The 18,507-nt window shown below is 39.6% G+C and overlaps 1 protein-coding gene across 1 annotated transcript in view, besides 1 other annotated feature; it reads right to left on the bottom strand.

Annotated features, from left to right (window-relative positions):
- Positions 1 to 18,507, bottom strand: part of PALM2AKAP2 (PALM2 and AKAP2 fusion) — a 531,726-nt gene that overhangs the window by 438,382 nt on the left and 74,837 nt on the right. The gene's annotated exons all lie outside the window — the stretch shown is intronic.
- Positions 12,669 to 13,172: an enhancer, noted in NCBI's record as "NANOG hESC enhancer chr9:112483239-112483742 (GRCh37/hg19 assembly coordinates)". NCBI's record gives its function as "activates a minimal SCP1, AML or CMV promoter by ChIP-STARR-seq in primed H9 embryonic stem cells {active_cell/tissue: H9 hESC(primed)}" and the evidence as "EXISTENCE:reporter gene assay evidence [ECO:0000049][PMID:30033119]".

The raw sequence follows: 18,507 nt of genomic DNA, 5'->3' as shown, positions 1-18,507 counted from the left end.
GGACTGTAGACTCTGCCAAGAAAAATGGAAGTTAGTTATAATTATGGTCTCCCCCTCGGGCTTACTTTAAGTCAAGGTTAAATCATCTAGAATCTGTTTTAGTTGTTCTTTCATCAAATTACTCAACAATGGCCACACCTCTCCTTTGCAGTGGTGCATTCATCATTGAATGTATAGTTGGGTTACCTGGAACCATATTCCAGTCTCCTACAAGTCTTCTTTTGTGGTGCAAAAGAAATGTAACTCTGACCAAGTGGCTGACAGCAGCAACTTTCTATTTCCTGCTATTGCAACATCAAAAACAAAAGTCTTTCCCCAACTCTGTTGCACAATCACTATTCGTGGTAGCAGTAAAAAGAAAAAAGAATCCCTGATGATTTTCAGATTGATTCCCCCAAATGATTACATTAAATGCTGTGATTAAAATTGAGGGAAAAATTACATTTAGAGAGAGTTCCCTTGTCTGGGAGATAAAAGCCATAGGCCATAGGGTTATAAACTGACAGCCTTGAAAGGAACTCAGGCTGGTTGAATGTCATTCCATAAACAAGGAGATGGCCCTACACACAGATTGAAAACGAAGTAAGGACTACGGAAGGGGAAAGGCACACTTCTTGAGTCTCTGCTTTGTACCACACCAGGGTATTTCCACGTGTGTTCCAGCCTCTGTTCTCACTCTGCCTAGCCATTAAGCCAGACACAACACTTCCTCCCACTCACCATTCAGGATCTACTCACCCTAAAGTATTGTTAACCAGTGTGAGATTTCTTGAAGATTCTGTAGCAGAGATAGAGGCAAGAGCTCTCATTATACACCATACTTTGAACAATCTAACAAATGTTCTTTTGTCACTTCTCTTCTCCCCAACGACCCTCTTTGACCAAGCCAGTGGGAAGATAAGGTAAGGGATATATTTTTCCCTCAACCCCTTTCCAGGATGCATCTAAATTACTCTATTTCCCATTCTAGTTTCCTCATTCTTCCTTCTAGGCCTCTAAATCCCTGCCCTTTTCTTATATACATTAATGGAATCATTCTTTTCAAATCATTTCAATGGCTTCCCAGCCCCTATAGAATATAATCTGAACCCCTAACTTGAGCCTCTCAATATTATCTGGGTCCTGTCTACCTCTCAGAACTCACTTCTTACCATGCATGCCTCATTCTACTCCTGATCCCTTGATCTCCCTGGGGAATTTGTCACACATACCCACCCCATGCCCACTGCAGGGTCTTTATACCTCAGCAACCTCTGCCAGGAACACTCTTCAACACTGAATTTTGCACAACTTGCTCCACCACCTCAGAAAGAGGACTTCTCTGAGCATCTTGAAAGGGAGACCTTCTCCCTGCTACCCTTTCCATTTCAGCCATTCTCTAACCCCTCCCCTGACTTTCTTTTTCTCCATAGCACTCATCATTACCCGCATTATATGGTTTTTCTATTTGACTATTTCTTTATTATCTGTCTTTCCCCAACTAGAAGGTAATCACCGTATCATCAGGGTCTTTGTCTGCCTTGTTCATCTATATCCCAAATATCCATGTGTTGAATGAATGAGTGGAAACAATTTAGCTCTTTCCTAACTAGTCTAACCTTGCGTGCCCACCACCCATCAATCTAATAAACAAACAAAAAGTCTTCCAACTACTGTCATCCACCCATTCTTAGGTGACAGCAATCAATTATAAATAAAAGCTATTTTCCCCCAAAGATACCTCATTAATCATCACAGGAACCTTGTCATGGATATGTTATTATAAATAATGAACATGCAGGGACACAGTGAAGACACAGCTGAGCTTTCAGACTGTTTGACTCCAAAGCTGGTGCTATTCCCATCACAGCACACTACCTTCCCAGCCTTCTGAGGCAATATACCTGAGAGCTTTGGGGAAACCACAGAGCTAGGTACACGTGGAAGGAATGCTATTCTTACGTGCAATGTCTTTCACTTCCATTGATCTGTACATTGGTCTTTGCACAATTTCCAGCCCTGCACATAATGACGCAGGTAATTTGAATTTGCTTTGAGGAAGACAGGTCTCGTTGGGGTCTTCCTGTCTCATTGTCCTTCCTGCCAAAGTGGCTCCTGCTGAAGGCACGAAAGTACCCAGCTTCTCAAATCGCAGACCTGGCTGAAATCTGGCCAGGACGTTATTTGTGGCACCATCCACAGTCCCCATCCAGCTCTGTGGCTGGAGCAGAATCAAAGCCAATGTCATCTCATACATAAGCATCTCAGGCCAAAACAAGACACAGATCTTACCCTCTCTTCTCCCCTGATGCACATGCCACACATATGAATATTAACCTGCACCATGGCTAACTTCAACATTTCCTCACCTGAGAACATGTGTAGGAGTATAACATGCTTATTCTATTCCAGTTTATATTACAAAATTTTTCACAATGTTCAGCATTTCATAAATAATACTATTTACTTATAAATTATAAATTATTGTTTATAGTCAAGAAATACTACTATTAATAATAATAGCATTGGTAATAAATTAGATGTAACATAACTCACCCCTAATGTCCACTGAGGTAAAAGATAATCAGGCAATCAGACTATACAAAGAAAAGCATATTTTAATTTACAATTTCACTCCAGTTTAAACATTCTAGTTCACCATTCTTTTTACTGGATTCAAAAGGTGATTGTGTTAGGGTATTGGAGCCATGACTAGTTTTTTTCTTCAGTTTACTTTTCTTCATTTTCAGAAGAGTAGGAAGATGAGATCAACAGGATAACGAATGAATTTGTTGAGAACTAAACTACTATAAGAAGTTTGACAACTGCATCATTTGACACAGAAAAGAGCAAAATCATGTCCAGTATAAGTTGGTTAATTCATGCAGCCTTATTGATTCCATTATTTGCTGGCAGTAGAGGTAGAGATGGAACCATTAGGAAAAAATCAGGAATTAAGACACAATCTCCTCTGTAATTACTTCAGAGTAGTTCAGCATAGACAGTGGGTGTCTGTATGTATACATGTATATAAGTTAACGTCAATATACACTCCAGGTGTAATTAGTTTAACATCTGCATTTCCTAATAAGAAATTCACACAATTCATGCTTCAGGATGGTTGGTTAGCATTTGACAGTCCCCGGTTGGAAAGCAAAGGAAAGCACTTCAGGAATAGTTATCTAAATATGCACCAGATGGTTTGTTAATTAGTATAAGGGATGTTATGTTATCCTTTTTTTTTTTCCACTGGCAAATGAGCGCTATTCAAGATATGTTGTTGGTTAGAAAGATTGCAGACATCTCCACCCTTGCTTGAGTAGGGAATATGCTCTGGTGTGCCCAGCAGCCTAACATCTTTGGAGATTATCCCCATTCTCTTTTGCAACACATCCCATTGGCCTGAGAAAAGGGTGATTATCATTCCTTAAGGACTCTTCTTATTCATATCCTAAACTTATAAAAGGAGATAAATGTGTTTAATGGTTTCTAAGACACATTGATTTCTAAAAATTGTCTTAGATTTCTTAAGCCAAATCCAAACTGTCAGAAGTACACTACTGGCAAAAACACAGCAATCAGCCAAAGACCAATTGTAGAAGAATTTCCCACTTTATCAAACACAGACGGTTAATGTATGTTCCTGACCAATCCTTGAATCCCAGTGATGCAGCCTCAGGCAACATTCTAGAATAAGTTGACATTATGCAATAGCCTATAAAACCAGCACGGAGGACCCTGCCAACTTCTAGAAATGTTTCATCACCTCACAAAGGTAATTGACCTAGTATAATGCTTATGTTTTGGCGAAAGTCCAGCTTCTGACCAATATTCACAGCAAGACATTTATGAATTGGGATTTTGTTTGCACTTTTATTGTGAAGGTTTGTCATTCATAACTTTGTGCAAGATTTTCCTTATAGATTCCTGCTATGAATTACTAGAAGCTTGAAATCCATGTCTCCATTCCCTTGTGCATTCTGTTTCCTTGACTACAATTCTTTTTCTCCTATTACTCCTCTTTCCTTTCATCAAGAGAGCCCCTACTCATTCTTGAACACCCAGTTCCAAAAGTCTCCTTTGCAAGGTAACTTCTGTCTCCTCAAGACATTTGCTCACCACTTTAGCACATTTGTTCACTCAAGAAATAATTAGTACACGCTTGTTGTATGCAAACAAGTGATCATTTCTAGGAACTCAGCAATGAGCAATCAGGTCCAGTCCATGCTCTTTTATTAATTTGGAAGAAAATCCAGTTAACATAATTTAGAATCAACCTATTGCATTCTCACCCACAAATTTCCACAATGCTAGTTCCTTTCTGTAGGAGACAAAGTGTCCTCCGGGGCAGGAATGTATTTCCTGGCAGCCTACTTGCACAGAAATTTAAACAGGTCCTTCAAAGATACCAAACCCTAGCCTAGGAACCATCCTGCATTCTGGGAGAATATGCACCTTGTGGTTTAAATGCATGCACCTTCAATTAATCCTCTGTTTAAGCTGCAGTCTGTCATACCGCACTGACAGAATTACTTCTGGCCTCCTCTACCAAGGGGCTGTTGGGGAAAGTCTGATCATATTTATTTCTTCAATTAATTAATCTAATTAATATTTGCTTCCTCAATCAACTGGTGAGGAAACAGGAATCGAGGAAAGTTGAGTGATTTGCTCAAAGTCAGATGGCTAGAATCATAGAATCATCTAATGTCCACTGCCTGTGGAAGCGATCCAATCCTCATGATGCCTTTGGCTATACTGGCCAGTTTATGCCTGTGATCACCTGCACTTATGTTTTCAGAGAATTAATCAGCGGTTTTAAATGTTAGAAAATTGTGTATTCATTTTAAGTACCCAGCACCCACTTTAGGACACATCAAGTTGGAGGGGACTACTGGAGGCTCAGGTGGCCATGGGAGTCGGTGGCAATGTACCTAGCACATTAACGGAGGAAAGGCTTTATGAGGAGTCACTCTCTGGAGAGCTTATCAACTGCCTGCCTGTCATCTTTGATAAAGGGACCATTAAATAGCATGAAATATGCTGCAGTAAAAAAATCTTGGAAATGTCCTCATAGAAACTAAAAATTCCAACAGGATTTGAAAAAACGTAGCAGCCAACAGAGACCAAAATAAATCTCATCAGGACTATCTCAGTTTAACATGTTGTTAAAATATCCCAAGACCTTTCTCAGCACATATATTATTCAAAGGTCAAAAAGTTCTCTGTGCAAATACCTAAAATATCCACAGGATGTTTCAGTAAAATGCCACAGTAAATTATTTCTCCAGTGCAATTCAGGGCTTAGGTTCCTGAATGAGGAAATAGGGGGTGAGTGTGACATACAAACCTCCATGTCCAGCCAGCTTATGGGAGCCACAATGGGGGTGGTGTGGTTTTAAATTCAACCACAATAAAAAAAATTTGAACTATTTTTCTGCACACTCCTGAATTAAAACTTATCCCTTGGATAAGGTTATGTATATTTTCACTGGTAACATTAAATAAAACAAGTTTAGATCAAGTAAAATTCTCGAGAGTACATATTAAAGAAGAACTAACACCCAAAGCTTAAGTGAAAAGGGTTGGGACTGATTCGTCAAAGCTTCAGTGTGCAGGGATAGAGCTGGCTTCAGGCACAACTGATTTTAGGGCTCACTTGCTGCATCAGGATGAGATTTTTCTCAGCTCGCTTCTTTTACTTCTTCCTTCTGTGTGTTGTGATCACTTTCCACCTGGAAGTAGGAGCAAGATGGTTGCAGCAGCTCCAAGCTTCAAATCCTCTCAACTTCACACCATTGATTAACTATGAGATGTAAGGCAAGGCAGTTGCCAAACCACTCTGCATCCCTGTTTCTACATCTGTAAAATGGGAATGCTATAATGCATATAAAGTGCTTAACACGTAGAAATGCTTAATGAATGTTGTTATCATAACACAATTCCCTAATAACAATAAGGACTGTCCATTTTCCTGATAGAAAGTTCTAAAAAGATATTCTAAGCTATCCAATCTGCAAGACTTGAACACATTCTCACCTAGAATACCCTTGCTTCTCAAGAAGCTTCAGCTTAACATTTTAATCTGGTAATAGAAACTGTAGTGGAGGAGACTCAAGAGAGACAGGTTGACACTCTCGTGTGTATTTGAATTCCTGAATAGAAAGCCCTTTGCGGAGGCCCAAGAGGTTTTCTCTGGGATGGACCTGGCACTGATCTAAAGGGGTTACCTCTGAAATATGTGTTTACATTTTTTAGAAGAACATATAGTTAGTTAGAACAACAATGGAATCATTTTCAGGTAGACTGTGTTCCCGTAGCAAGGAATGCATTGCCAAGCATGAAGCTGGGCATCTCAAAAAGAAAGAGATTAAAAACTTCACGTATTTGCAATTTCTTCTGAACATTTAAACATTAACTACGGTGCATGAAAAATATGACCATTGAGTGATTTGAGAGAAAGAGGTTGTAGTATAAGCTTTCACTTTGCTGTTCTGCCTTTTATATTCATTTTGCCTCTAGTAAAATGGGCTAGTGCCCATCAAATCCTGAAAAAAGACTCATTCTTGATTATTGTCATCTCTACCTGCCTCATCATTGGCCACCTGCATCAGAACTCCTCAGCTCTGCTGAAGAGATCATAAATAAAGTATTTGGGGCTCTATATAAAATAATTTTTTAATGTTGTTAATGGAACTTAGAAATTATCTTATTCAACTTCTTCAATTGACTGGTGAGGAAACAGGAATCCAGGAAAGTTGAGTGATTTGCTCAAAGTCAGATGGCTTGAATCATAGAATCATCTAATATCAGGGCTCATTTCAGACCAATCATGAATATAAAATTCCCTCCCAAATTATATTATTGGCTCACAGCAATCCTGTAAAGTTGGTGGGGCAGATACTATCACAAGAAGACTTAAAGCATATGGCCAAGTAACCTGAAAAAATTCAAAGTCCTGGCAAGGAAAGAAAGAGAATGGGAGGCTGGGAGGCAGAGAGCAAGAAAACAAGAATAATTTAAATAGAGAAGTAAAACACACTCTAATCTAGTTAGCAAGGTTACTTCTCTGTTGACACAAAATTTCTGCGATATGGTTAGATAGTGCAATGCATGTAACCCAAAGTGGTTTTTCACTCTCTGTGATGGTTCAGTGAGGTGGGCTGGTGAAATCTCAAGATCCCTCTAGATTGTCCTGTCCAATGGAACTTTCTGCAATAATGAAAATGTTCTAAATCTCACTGTCCGGTTTGGTACCCATAGCCACATGTGGGTTTTCAACACTTGAAATATGGCTAGAGTTGCTGAGAAACTGAATTTAAATTTTATTTACTTTTAATTAATTTAAATTTGAATAGCCATGCATGCCTAGTAGCTATTGTATTTGACTATACAGTTCTAGATGAATGAAGCTTCCCTAAGCATATCAACTTGATTTAACCTATACACTTGTTTTTCTTTGGGAGAGTAAGCTATAATGGGTGTTGAAATCAGATTTCTACACACATACACACATATATATGGCAGTACCAAAAATAACTATGTATTAGTGAGGATTCTTAGTTGAAAACAATGGAAAGCAAACATTTAATTTAAGCAGGAAAGAGATTTGTTAAAGAATGTGAAGTCACTCACAGAATCTCTGGAATGGTCAGCAACCCAGGCGTGGAGGCTGCATGGCCAGAGAAGTCCCAGTCATACTGCAGAGCTGGTCTGGAGGAAACACAACAGCCCCACCACTGAACGCAGTACAGGAGCCTGCTCTGCTGACCCGGCAGATGCTGGGCACTGGTTGCCTCCACCGGGAGCCCTGCAATTGCTGCTTCTGAAAACTGAAGGCATCAGCTGCCACCACCACAACCAGACTGGATTCTACATGGCACCTGCTGCTTTCAGTCACTAGCTTCTGATTGCAAGTCTTGGGCAGGGGCAGCTGATTGACTGAGCCCAGGTCATATGTCTATGCTCAAGTGGAAAGGGAGGCTGGAATAAAAAGAGTCTGGCTTCTATAGAGGGAGGCAGACTCATAAGCCAAGGAGTTCCCCTAAGAAAAATAAATGTCTGTTACACCTGCCTTGTAGGAAAGAAGGCTAATGTGTTAAAGGTACTAGTCCTCCTGGGTGATGGGCAGAGCTATAGAATTGAAAACATGGGGGCAGATTAAATGCAGGCATATGAGGCACTACGTGCTACCATGGGGAAATTGAAATATGTCAAAAAATTGTAAGAGGGTATGTTAGCAAAAGGGAGTTTTGTGAGAGAAAATAAAATAGCTGCCACGATGAGAGACTGTGTGAAGTGTGACATTCCATTTTGCTACTTTTTCATGTCACTCCAATAAAAACTTATTACTTTTTAAGACTTTTTTTGGAGTTACATGTGTGTGTTGCATAATTGGAATTATTGTACACATTGTACATATTCTTGCTTTTTTATGTACTCTTTAATGCAACACGGATATCTTTTCCTTTAAATATGCACACCTCTATGACATCATTTTTAATGCCTGTATAGTATTCTAGCGTACAAATATATCATACTTTAACCAATCTCTTAATGATAGTTTACAACTTTTTCTTACGAGTCATACCATAACGAGCATCTCTGTACTTTTATCTCTGTGTGCTTGATGAGTTATTCCTTTAGGTTAAATTCCTAGAAAAAGAATTGCTGTGCTAGTAGTGGCTAAGCATACCTAAACATTTTGATTTATATTTGCAGACTGTCCATGCAGAGTTGGGACTAATATGACACGAGTGAGGCACTTTTCCTTGGACACAAAATTTAACGTGCTATAAACAAACCTCAGTAATCAAAACAAATATTTTGATACAATATTTTTAAATCAAAATTCATGCAAGAAAAGTCCATGATGAACAAAATATCAACATTTGAAATAAAGGTAGAATCAATATTATTGATTTTTCCTTTTACCTCAAGCTCCAATATTGTTGGCTTGATACTGTTCCCACCATGTTCTTGCCAACCCTAGGCTCCTACCTTTAATTCTTATCATTCTGATGGGAGAAAAATGACATCTCATTTTAATTTTCTTTTTTTTGATTGCCATTGAGATTGAGCATCTTATATGTTTATTGGCCATTTGCATTTCTTCTTGTATAAATTGTCTTGTTCATAATGATTGTTTACTTTGTCTATTTAGGTGTTCATATTTTATTGATGTGTAAGAATTCCCGTACTTTGCAAATATTTTCCTAGCTTTTCGCTTTTCATTTAACACTGTTTTTTTCAGGATCAATGCCTTAAATATTTATATAGTCAAATTTGTCTCTTATGTTTTGAATGCCTCTGCTTTTTACCTGCAGAAAGACCATTTTATTGTGATTGAAAATGAAGGCTTTTGAGTCAGACAGCCTGGATGTCACTCACCAGCTCTGAAACCATAGGCATGTAGCATAATCTATGTGTGCTTTGTCATATATAAAATGGGGATAATAACAAGACACCCTTCAGAGGGTTTTATGAGAATAAAATGAGTAACACAAAATGCTTAGAAAAATGCCAGGCACATAGTAAGCTCTCAATAAATGTGAGCTATCACCACTGCTAACTATACACAAGATTTGTTTTTAGATACTTGACTCTGTTCAATTTCTGTGTTCCTGCTCTAGTACCTTACTGTTTTAGTTACCATAAATTTATTTGGTGTCTTTTGATCTGGTTAAGCAAGCTCCTTTCTCATTTTTATTGGTTTTTCAAGTTTTTCTTGGCCGTTTTCATTCACCTGTACATATAAATGAATTTTAAAAGCTATTCGTCAAGTACCACAAAACCTCACTGGGATTTTAATTGAAACTGTATTACATTTATATATTACTTTAGGGAAGCGTGACATCTTTACAATATGAGACTTCCTGCCCAAGAACATGATGTTTCCCTTTATTTAGTCAAGTCTTCTTCTTTTTATTCTTTTATTAAGTTTTATTGTTTTTAAAGATGTACATCTTGCACATTTTAATTTTACTTGGTGTTTTAAATTTTTATTGCTATTTATTTTATTATTGGACATTACATATATGTATAAAGAGATGATGTCTGTGTGTTCTCTGTAAGCCTTCACATTGAGCCCCTTTATATACTTTCATTTGTTTTCCAGTTGATTACGTGCTTATCTGAAATGAACGTATGACCTAGCCATTGAGCTGACTAAAGTCCTTCAATAACCCTTTAGGTCAAAGTCCAAACTTCTGGTCCTGACATACATTTATTAATCCATTTCCAACATTGATTTGTTTTCCTATACAACAAATATATATTTAGTACCTGTTCTGTGCCAGGCACTATGGAGCACCCAGGATCCATCAATAAACACACAAAAATCTCTGCTGCTAAGGAGCCTACACACAGGAGGAATTTGTTTTAGCTCATGCCTATGGATCCACCCTCACCACCTTTGCTTTTTTGCAGGTGCTGTGTACTTCAGCCATACTGAATTAGTTGGAATTCTCCTGAAACACCTTCTTGTTAAATGCCTTTTTCTTTTTCCGCTTGTTTCCACTTGAAAAGTGATACATATATATCCTCATGACTCATGTCAAGGACAGTATCCCCTTAGCAGCCCTCTCGGGTCTTCCATGCAGAGCACAGAGGTCTCAATTCCATGTCGCACTATCTTAGAGACAATTTCTTCAAGTACAATTGTTATTTGATTCTCCTATGAGTTCCATTGTCAGCAGGAATGGGGTCTCGGTCATCTTTTGCTACCTGGTAACATGGTAGCATGGTGGTGTTCATTAAATATTTGGTAAAGACATAGATTGAGTTGGTGGGGGGACACAGCATGATCACACATGTCAATGTATGGCTACATAAGGTCGGTGCTGGGCGGTGGTATGGGTCATCATAATTAGACTTATAGGAGCCAGGGGAGGAGATCTCCATGGCTGAATGGATAGGCCTGGTTTCCTAGCGGAGATGGGCCTTTAAGCAGATACTGAAGAAGTTTGAAGCTTTTGTCAGCTCTTTCTACCCCATTTATTTTCCTTCCCTCCACAAAAGGGTCTAAGATCAAGGATGTTGCCCTAACAAATTTTACATGCCCAGGGAATACAAAGTGAGAAAAGGCTAAGTTGAGAGTATAGCCTGCAGCTGCAGGCACAGTGCTTTTTGCGGAGTTTCCAGAAAACGCGAGTTGGGTAGAATTGGAACTAGAACCTGGCAACTTGGCTTTGAAAGGACCTAAATGGAATCACACATGAGGCAGGAGGTGCTTGGTGGGCAGAGCAGACGGCTTGTGCAAGGGAAAATGTGATATTCTAGAAATATGCCTGATAATATAATCAAGGGCAGATTGTGAGGGGCTTTCAAATGCCAGGTGAAGAATTTTAAAATTTAAAGTGTTTTTGTTTGTTTATTTATTTATGAGACAGGGTCTCACTCTGTCTACCAGGCTGGAGTGCAGTGATGCAACCAAGGCTCACTACGGCTTCAACCTCCTGGGTTCAAGTGATCCCCCCACCTCAGCCTCACGAAAAGCTGGGTCTACGGGTGCATGCCACCACGCCTGGCTAATTTTCATATTTTTTGTAGAGATGGGGATTTTCCATGTTGCCCAGGCTAGTATTGAGCTCCTGGATTCAGGCAACCCGCCTATCTCAGCCTACCAAAGTGTTGAGATTACAGGTGTGAGGCATCTCGCCTAGCTCCTATTTGTATATTTATCTGTAACAATTTACATGGCTCAAAAATCAAAAGTCCCCATAGCATATTATAGTGAAAAGTTCCCCTCCCACTCCTATTCCTCAGTTACCCAACTCTCCACTCCTGAGGAAACTGATGTTTCTTATGTATGCTTCCAGGGATATTAAGTGCATATTACAAGAAATTGGATATGCATGTGTGTATGCGTGTGTATTCTTTTTTCACAAATTTTAGCTGTTTTCATTTTACAGTATAGTTTAGAGGTCATTATCATCAGTATATAAATAATTTCCTTTTTAACAGCTGCATAGTACTCCACTGTAGAGATGAATCATAATTTATTAACAGTCCCCAATAAATGGACAGTTAAATCACTTCCTGTATTTTGCTATTACATATAATGCTACAATAAATAATTTTTCAAATAGGTTATTTTGCATGTATGACTCTATTGGTAAGATAAATCCTGAAAGCACTCATCACTAGGTCAAAGAATAGGCTAATAAATTTGGGTTCCAGTCTGTAATAGGGATGCATTAAAAGTTACTTGCTAAAGCATGCATGTACATATAGCATTTTAAGAAATCTAATTCATATATAATTATTTAGGTATGACAGATGATGGAAGAGGAAGGAGTCTAAGGTTACTTTAAGTTCATTAATTAAAAGGACTGGCATAGCCAACACTTTAGCCATAATGGAGCATATTTTCACCCAAAGACTACTTTCCAATCTCCACTGCCATGTAGGCTTTCCACTAGATCTCAACCAGACAATGGAGAAAGAAGCGGGTGTGGGGGGCTTCATGCATGGGAATTACGTTAAAGAACCAGGGAGATTAGAGACATCCTTGGATAGATATTGATAGAAACAGAAAGTTCTAGAGATGAAGTTGGCTAATTAGCCAATGAAAACCCAAAACATACCAGCCCCAAAATAAAGAAAATCTCTGATCTACTAATTATCTGAGAAAATTTTAAGAAAAATATTAATCTGGGGGAAATAACAAGATAGAAGGTAGATTTTTGCCTCAGTTTCCTTGGAGTTGGAAGGCCTGGAGTTGGAATATTCTGACAAGGAATTAAAATGAGAAAGTTCCCAATAGAAAGCGATCTCTGCAGGCTTTGTCCTCAGAATCTGCCACCTCAGATTTGAACCATGACCTTTGCTGCTCCCTGTCACTCAGCCATGACTTGGGAAGGGAGATCAAGGTCTTGCTGAGCCTTCACAGTGTGAGCTCAGCCTGCAAATGCCCAGCTCCTTAGGAATGGAAGACAGTCGTCAGCTCAGCTCAGCTGACTGATTAGCTGGGAATCCTCTAGGGAGCACACTTTGGCTAGAATCCTGTAATTCAGCCATCCAGTTAACCTTTTAAGTGAATAAAAGTCAAATACAGCACCAGGGCCAAAGCTATGAGTTGGTGTGATGACAAGCAATCCTTTAGGAAGACACAGGATTCTTGAGAGGTAAAAATACAGAGCCTGTCTACATTCTGCTCTCCCTCTTGGAGAGCAAGCTCTAAAGTATTTAGTGGTGTGTGTGGTGGTATGTGCCATAGTAAAACTCCGCTAGGGAAGGGACGTAACCTGTTTGGCTTACTGCTCTATCCCTAGTGGTTAGAATAATGCCAGGAACACAGTAAGTGCTCAGTAAACATTCATTGAAAGAATCAATGCATCCACTGTGAATGAGTGAATGAGTGAACAAATCCACAGCATGTGGGTTCCTTTGCCTGCATTTGTGTATATCCTTACACAACACAAATCAAATCTATATGTGGATATCCATTGGTCTTATGTTTTTCACATATGAAATGACTTTAAATCACTGTGTAAGTAGCTGTAAATGAACCCTATAGATTTTGCTAGCTCCTTCTCTTTGCCAGCTCCTTAAATATTAGTGTTCCCCTGAGCTTTATCCTTGGCTTCTTCTCATTTTCTCTCTTTCAGAGAAACCTCATCCATGGCTTCAACTCTCATCTATATAGGCTAATGACTTCCAAAACTCTCTGCAGCCCACAATTCCCTCATGACTTCCAGCTCTGAGGATCTACCAATAGTCTCAATATCTACATTCAGATGCTTCAGAGGTATCTCAGAATCAGTGTGTCACCAACTGTATTTACTATCCACCCCCTTCACATCATCTGTTCCCTCTCATTTATTCTGAATTTTTTTTTTACAAGAACTAAAGAATGAAAATATAGGCCAGGCACAGCAGCTCATGCCTGTAATCCCAGCACTTTGGGAAGCCAAGGCAGGCAGATGACCTGAGGTCTGGAGTTGAAGACCAGCCTGGCCAACATGGTGAAACCCCATCTCTACTAAAAATACAAAAATTAGCTGGGCGCAGTAGCATGTGCCCGTAAGCTCAGCTACTCAGGAGGCTGAGGCAGGAGAATCACTTGAACCCAGGAGGCAGAGGTTGTGGTGAGCGGAGATCACGCCACTGCACTCTAGCCTGGGTGACAGAGTGAGACTCCATCTCAAAAAAAAAAAAGGAATAAAAATATAAAGGCATGTTATCTTTAGTAGCTATCATGTTTATTGTGTTACATGTCACTCTCCATTCTAGAGCAAATTCTGGTCCATAGTCAAGAGCTTCCTGACTGTTGGGCTAGGCTATGCCATTACTGGGTTATAAGTTGTTACCTAAGAAATCAATCCTCTCAGCCCTTGGAGGATCTAGGAAGAGCTTAGGGAATCTAAGTATGAGCCCATGGAGGAACTGGGAATAGTTTAGAGAATCTAAGTATGCCCCAGGTCTAGGCATCCTCATCTGTTTACCCCTGATTTCTATGTATGCCACATCATAAAGCAGATTTGAAAGCATTGATCTTGTGTTTGATCCTCCAACTATCCATGAATTCTCACCTATACATTTCATCATCACAATAGTGAATATTCATACTGGTGACCCTCTTCCACAGCAAGATCCTAACTGCCAAGTGAATCATCCAATAATACTCAATTAAACTCCTGAGTGTTTAGGGAATTGGATTTTGTTATGGAATCAGAATCTAGAATTTGGGGAAATCTTGAGCCACTTCTTTATCTCTAACTATCTCTTATTTACAAGTGAAGACATCAGGGCTTGAGATAAAGTTGCTTGCCTTGGAGGATACAAAGCATTTGTAGCAGAATTAGCCTGAGAAACTGGAAGTAGACTCTCAGCCCAGTGCTCTCATGTATTGTACCTTCCTAACCCACTCACTAGAGCCCTCTTTCACAACTGATCTCTTATTTTAGAGTGAACACACAGTGATTGTCTATTAACCTAAACACTTAGACTAAACATGCTTTGGCCTTTTCATGCTAACTAACAGAGTTTTATTGTTTTTGTTCCTCGATATCTAATTTCCAGGCTCAATCAGTGATGAATTAAGTAATTTTCAAAAATTGTTTATTTTTTTATAAGAGATGATTAAATTCCAGAGTTTGGCCTTGAATATGAAGTGACTGTTTTTATTTTACTCCTGTTAGTATATTTTTCCTTGCCAGAACAATGCATTTTTTTCCTCTGTTTCAACTCTAGAAGTACGAAAAAATCATTTTGAAATAGTTTATTTTACATTTGGGAATGTAAATCGAGATATGATAAATACAAAAATCAAATAAGAAAGGAAAACACCATTGGAAAAGGGACCACACATGGATACCAAAGCCAAGGGTGGAAAGTTCAGGCTCCCGGAGCAAGAAAAAACATCAACCTGAGTAGGGCATTTCTCCACTCCTGAAAGCCTGGGCATTTAGAAGCACATTTAGAAGTTAGACAAGCCAGTTTCTCAGTTGTGACAAATATACTTGGTATTGTTAAGATGTTAACAATGGGGAAACTAGGCAAGGGGCATATGAGACTTCTCTGTACTACCTTTGCAACTCTTCTGCAAATCTAGTATTACTCCAAAATAAAGCTTATTTTTTAAATGTTAAAAAAAAAGAAGTTAGACAAGCAAGTGTTCAGGGCCCAGCACAGTCCACATCCAGACAGTGAGCTTCTCAACACTGTAATATAAATCAACTTAGTGCAAAGTAAACAAGTAAGGAATGCCTTATAGAAGTTGATAATTACATTGCAAACATTTTTGTGTAATACCTAACTTAAATATTGAAAAAGAAGGTAACTGGGGCCGGGCATGGTAATCCCAGCACTTTGGGAGACCGAGGCAGGTGGATCTCTTGAGCTCAGGAGTTGGAGACCAGCCTGGAAAACATGGCAAAACCCCATCTCTACAAATACAAAAAAATTAGGCAGGCATGGTGGCATGCACCTGCAGTCTCAGCTACTCGGGAAGCAGAGGTGGGAGGATCACTTGAGCCTGAGAAGTTGAGGCTGCAGTGAGCCAAGATCGTGCCACTGCCCTCCAGCCTGGGCGACAGAATGAGACCCTGTCTCAGCAAAATTTAAAAAAAAGAAAGAAAGAAACGAAAAATAAGGTAACTGAAGGTATAGCAAACACTAATCTTCAGAATTTTTAGTCAAAAAGGCCTACATAAGTGAAACTAAAGGCAAAAACCACCAAAGTTTATGGCCTCCCTTTCTCTCTCTCTCTTTCCACATATCTCCTTTTATCTCTCTTACTTTCTCTCTTTCATGTCTACAAGATTCTCTTCTTTATTAGCTCTGGTGCCCACAGTGCACCTGCATTTGTTTCTATGACTTTGCACAAGGCAAACTCCATGAAATGCAATCATTTGAGACTTCAGACTTCATGGAAACATGTGCTTTTCTGTCGAGGGCTTAGGCTGCCCAACCTGCAAGCTCTCCTCAGGGAAAGGCTTTGTAGGACAGGCTCCTGCTGGGCTTGTGAGCCTAGCCAGAGATCAGACACAACCTTCAAAAGCCTATCCGCACCTTTTCATAATTGTTTCTGCTTTTCAAAAGAAGAAGACCTTCTATGGCGTCTAGTGCTATCTTTATATGATGACTCATCTGCCTCTTTGGCCTGTACTTTCCTGTTTCAATCAGTCTTGCCTCTCCAACTGTTTCTGCTACTCCTTCATGTGGTGTCTGGTACATTGCCTACTCTCTACCCCACACACCTTCCTGGCACAAATGAAGATGATTTGGGAGCTGTTCCTCTAGCTTCCTGTGAGCTACTCAGATCTTGACTGTTTGGTCTATCTCATGGGCCTCCCACCTCCTAAACTCTGAGCCAGCCTGACCAAAGCAGATAGGCCATGAACTGCCTCAACTCCACCCCTAGGCTAGACCCAGAATTAAACAGGCTTCCCTAGAAGGATCCTTAGAGTGTTGGGAGAAGCCTAGGAGTCCAAGAGCTTTAAGCTGGTGTCCTCATTAACTCCCTTCTCCAGCCTTCATCTTCTTTCATCATGACCTTTTATGTTCTCCAGGCCCCTACTGGGTCAAGAGTTATGACACTTAACCCTAACTTGCCAGCGCTGTCTGTGGGAGCCAAGCCTTTCTCCCACAACCAGCCTGCCACATTGGATCTCATTGAATTGCATAGCTTGCCCATACCAAGGCCAAATTTGCCCTGTAACTTTCAATACTAGATGTTAAGAAAACCAGACATCCCATCAGGAGTTAGTCCTTCTGGCAAGCCAGCCCTGCCCTTCTGATTCCCCAAAACCTCATTTTTCTTCACTTACTCATAATATTGCTAGGATATCCACATAACCAAAAGCCAAACCTAACCACATCACCCAACTGGTTTTCTAGATGTACACATGTGGGACCTCTGTCTCAACCTCCGACTTTCACAGATCATTGGTTAGGCTCACCTTCCTGTAATTGCTTCTGTTTTTCAAAGGGAGAAAGGCATTTGATGGGACAACATGCATTACTTTGACCTACTTGGCTGCCACTAAGAAATATTCCTTCCCCCTATCCCTGACTAAAGCCTTCACCCATGACCTGGTTTCCTCCTTGGAAGGAGGAGTCTTTCCAGGTACCTGCCAGCTTACAGATGCCAGATTTAGCAAGTGAAATACAGAATGCCCATTTACGTTTGAAATTCAGATAAACAGCAGTATAAGTATAGCCCATGTGATACTTGACATTTATACTGCTGTTTATTGGAAATTCACTTGTAACTGGGAATCCTGTATTTTATCTGGTAACCCTTCTCCAGCCTAATGAGTGGATCCAGACAATAGACAACCAAAATAGACTCCTTGGTTCTGGACATAGAGTTTATCTATCTATTTATCTGGATTCAGTGGCCACAGGAACCATGCACAGTTACGCCTTCATCATGTAATTTTGACCCTCAATAATATTATAAATATAGGAAGAGATATTAAGATTTTCTTGGGTATAACACGACATAAAGAGGAGAGAGTTACCACATAAAACCCCAGTTGTCACAATTAAACTTTTTATTTTTCCAGATTTTTACACAATGCTCACTCCTAGAATTGCCTTCTGGAACAGTTTTGGCTCATTTAAAATCTTACTTCTTCTTTGGCTGAGATAAGAATCACTCACATAGGAAAACATTCAGGCATTTCTTCTATGATTTCCCAGCTGCAGATGCTAAATGTTCTACCAGTTCCAGTCAATCTGGCAGAAAAGACCAGGTCTAATGGCATACGAAAAACACTTCAAAATCACACGGGCACCACAGAAGTGGTAACACATAGAGAAGAGTATATTTGCTTAACAAAGAAGAAGAAAGAAGGAAGAAGGAAGAAGAAAAGAAAGAAGAAGAAGAAATGGTCTGAATTCTAAGCATGACCTCTAATGGATATGAAATAGGCTAGAACAACTGGGGCTACAATGAGTGTTTAAGTACTTGGGGAGGTGAATTGTCTCTCTGGAAATAGCACCAGAAAGTCCTTTCAGAAGGAGATCCTTTTTTAACCAAACTGAAAGGAACATGATGGGCATGGGCAGAGGAATGAGCAT

The sequence above is a fragment of the Homo sapiens genome, chromosome 9 (assembly GCF_000001405.40).
Source record: "Homo sapiens chromosome 9, GRCh38.p14 Primary Assembly".
Lineage (NCBI taxonomy): Eukaryota > Metazoa > Chordata > Mammalia > Primates > Hominidae > Homo > Homo sapiens.
The sequence above is the reverse complement of the archived record's forward strand: the minus strand, read 5'-3'. Positions and strand labels throughout refer to the sequence as shown.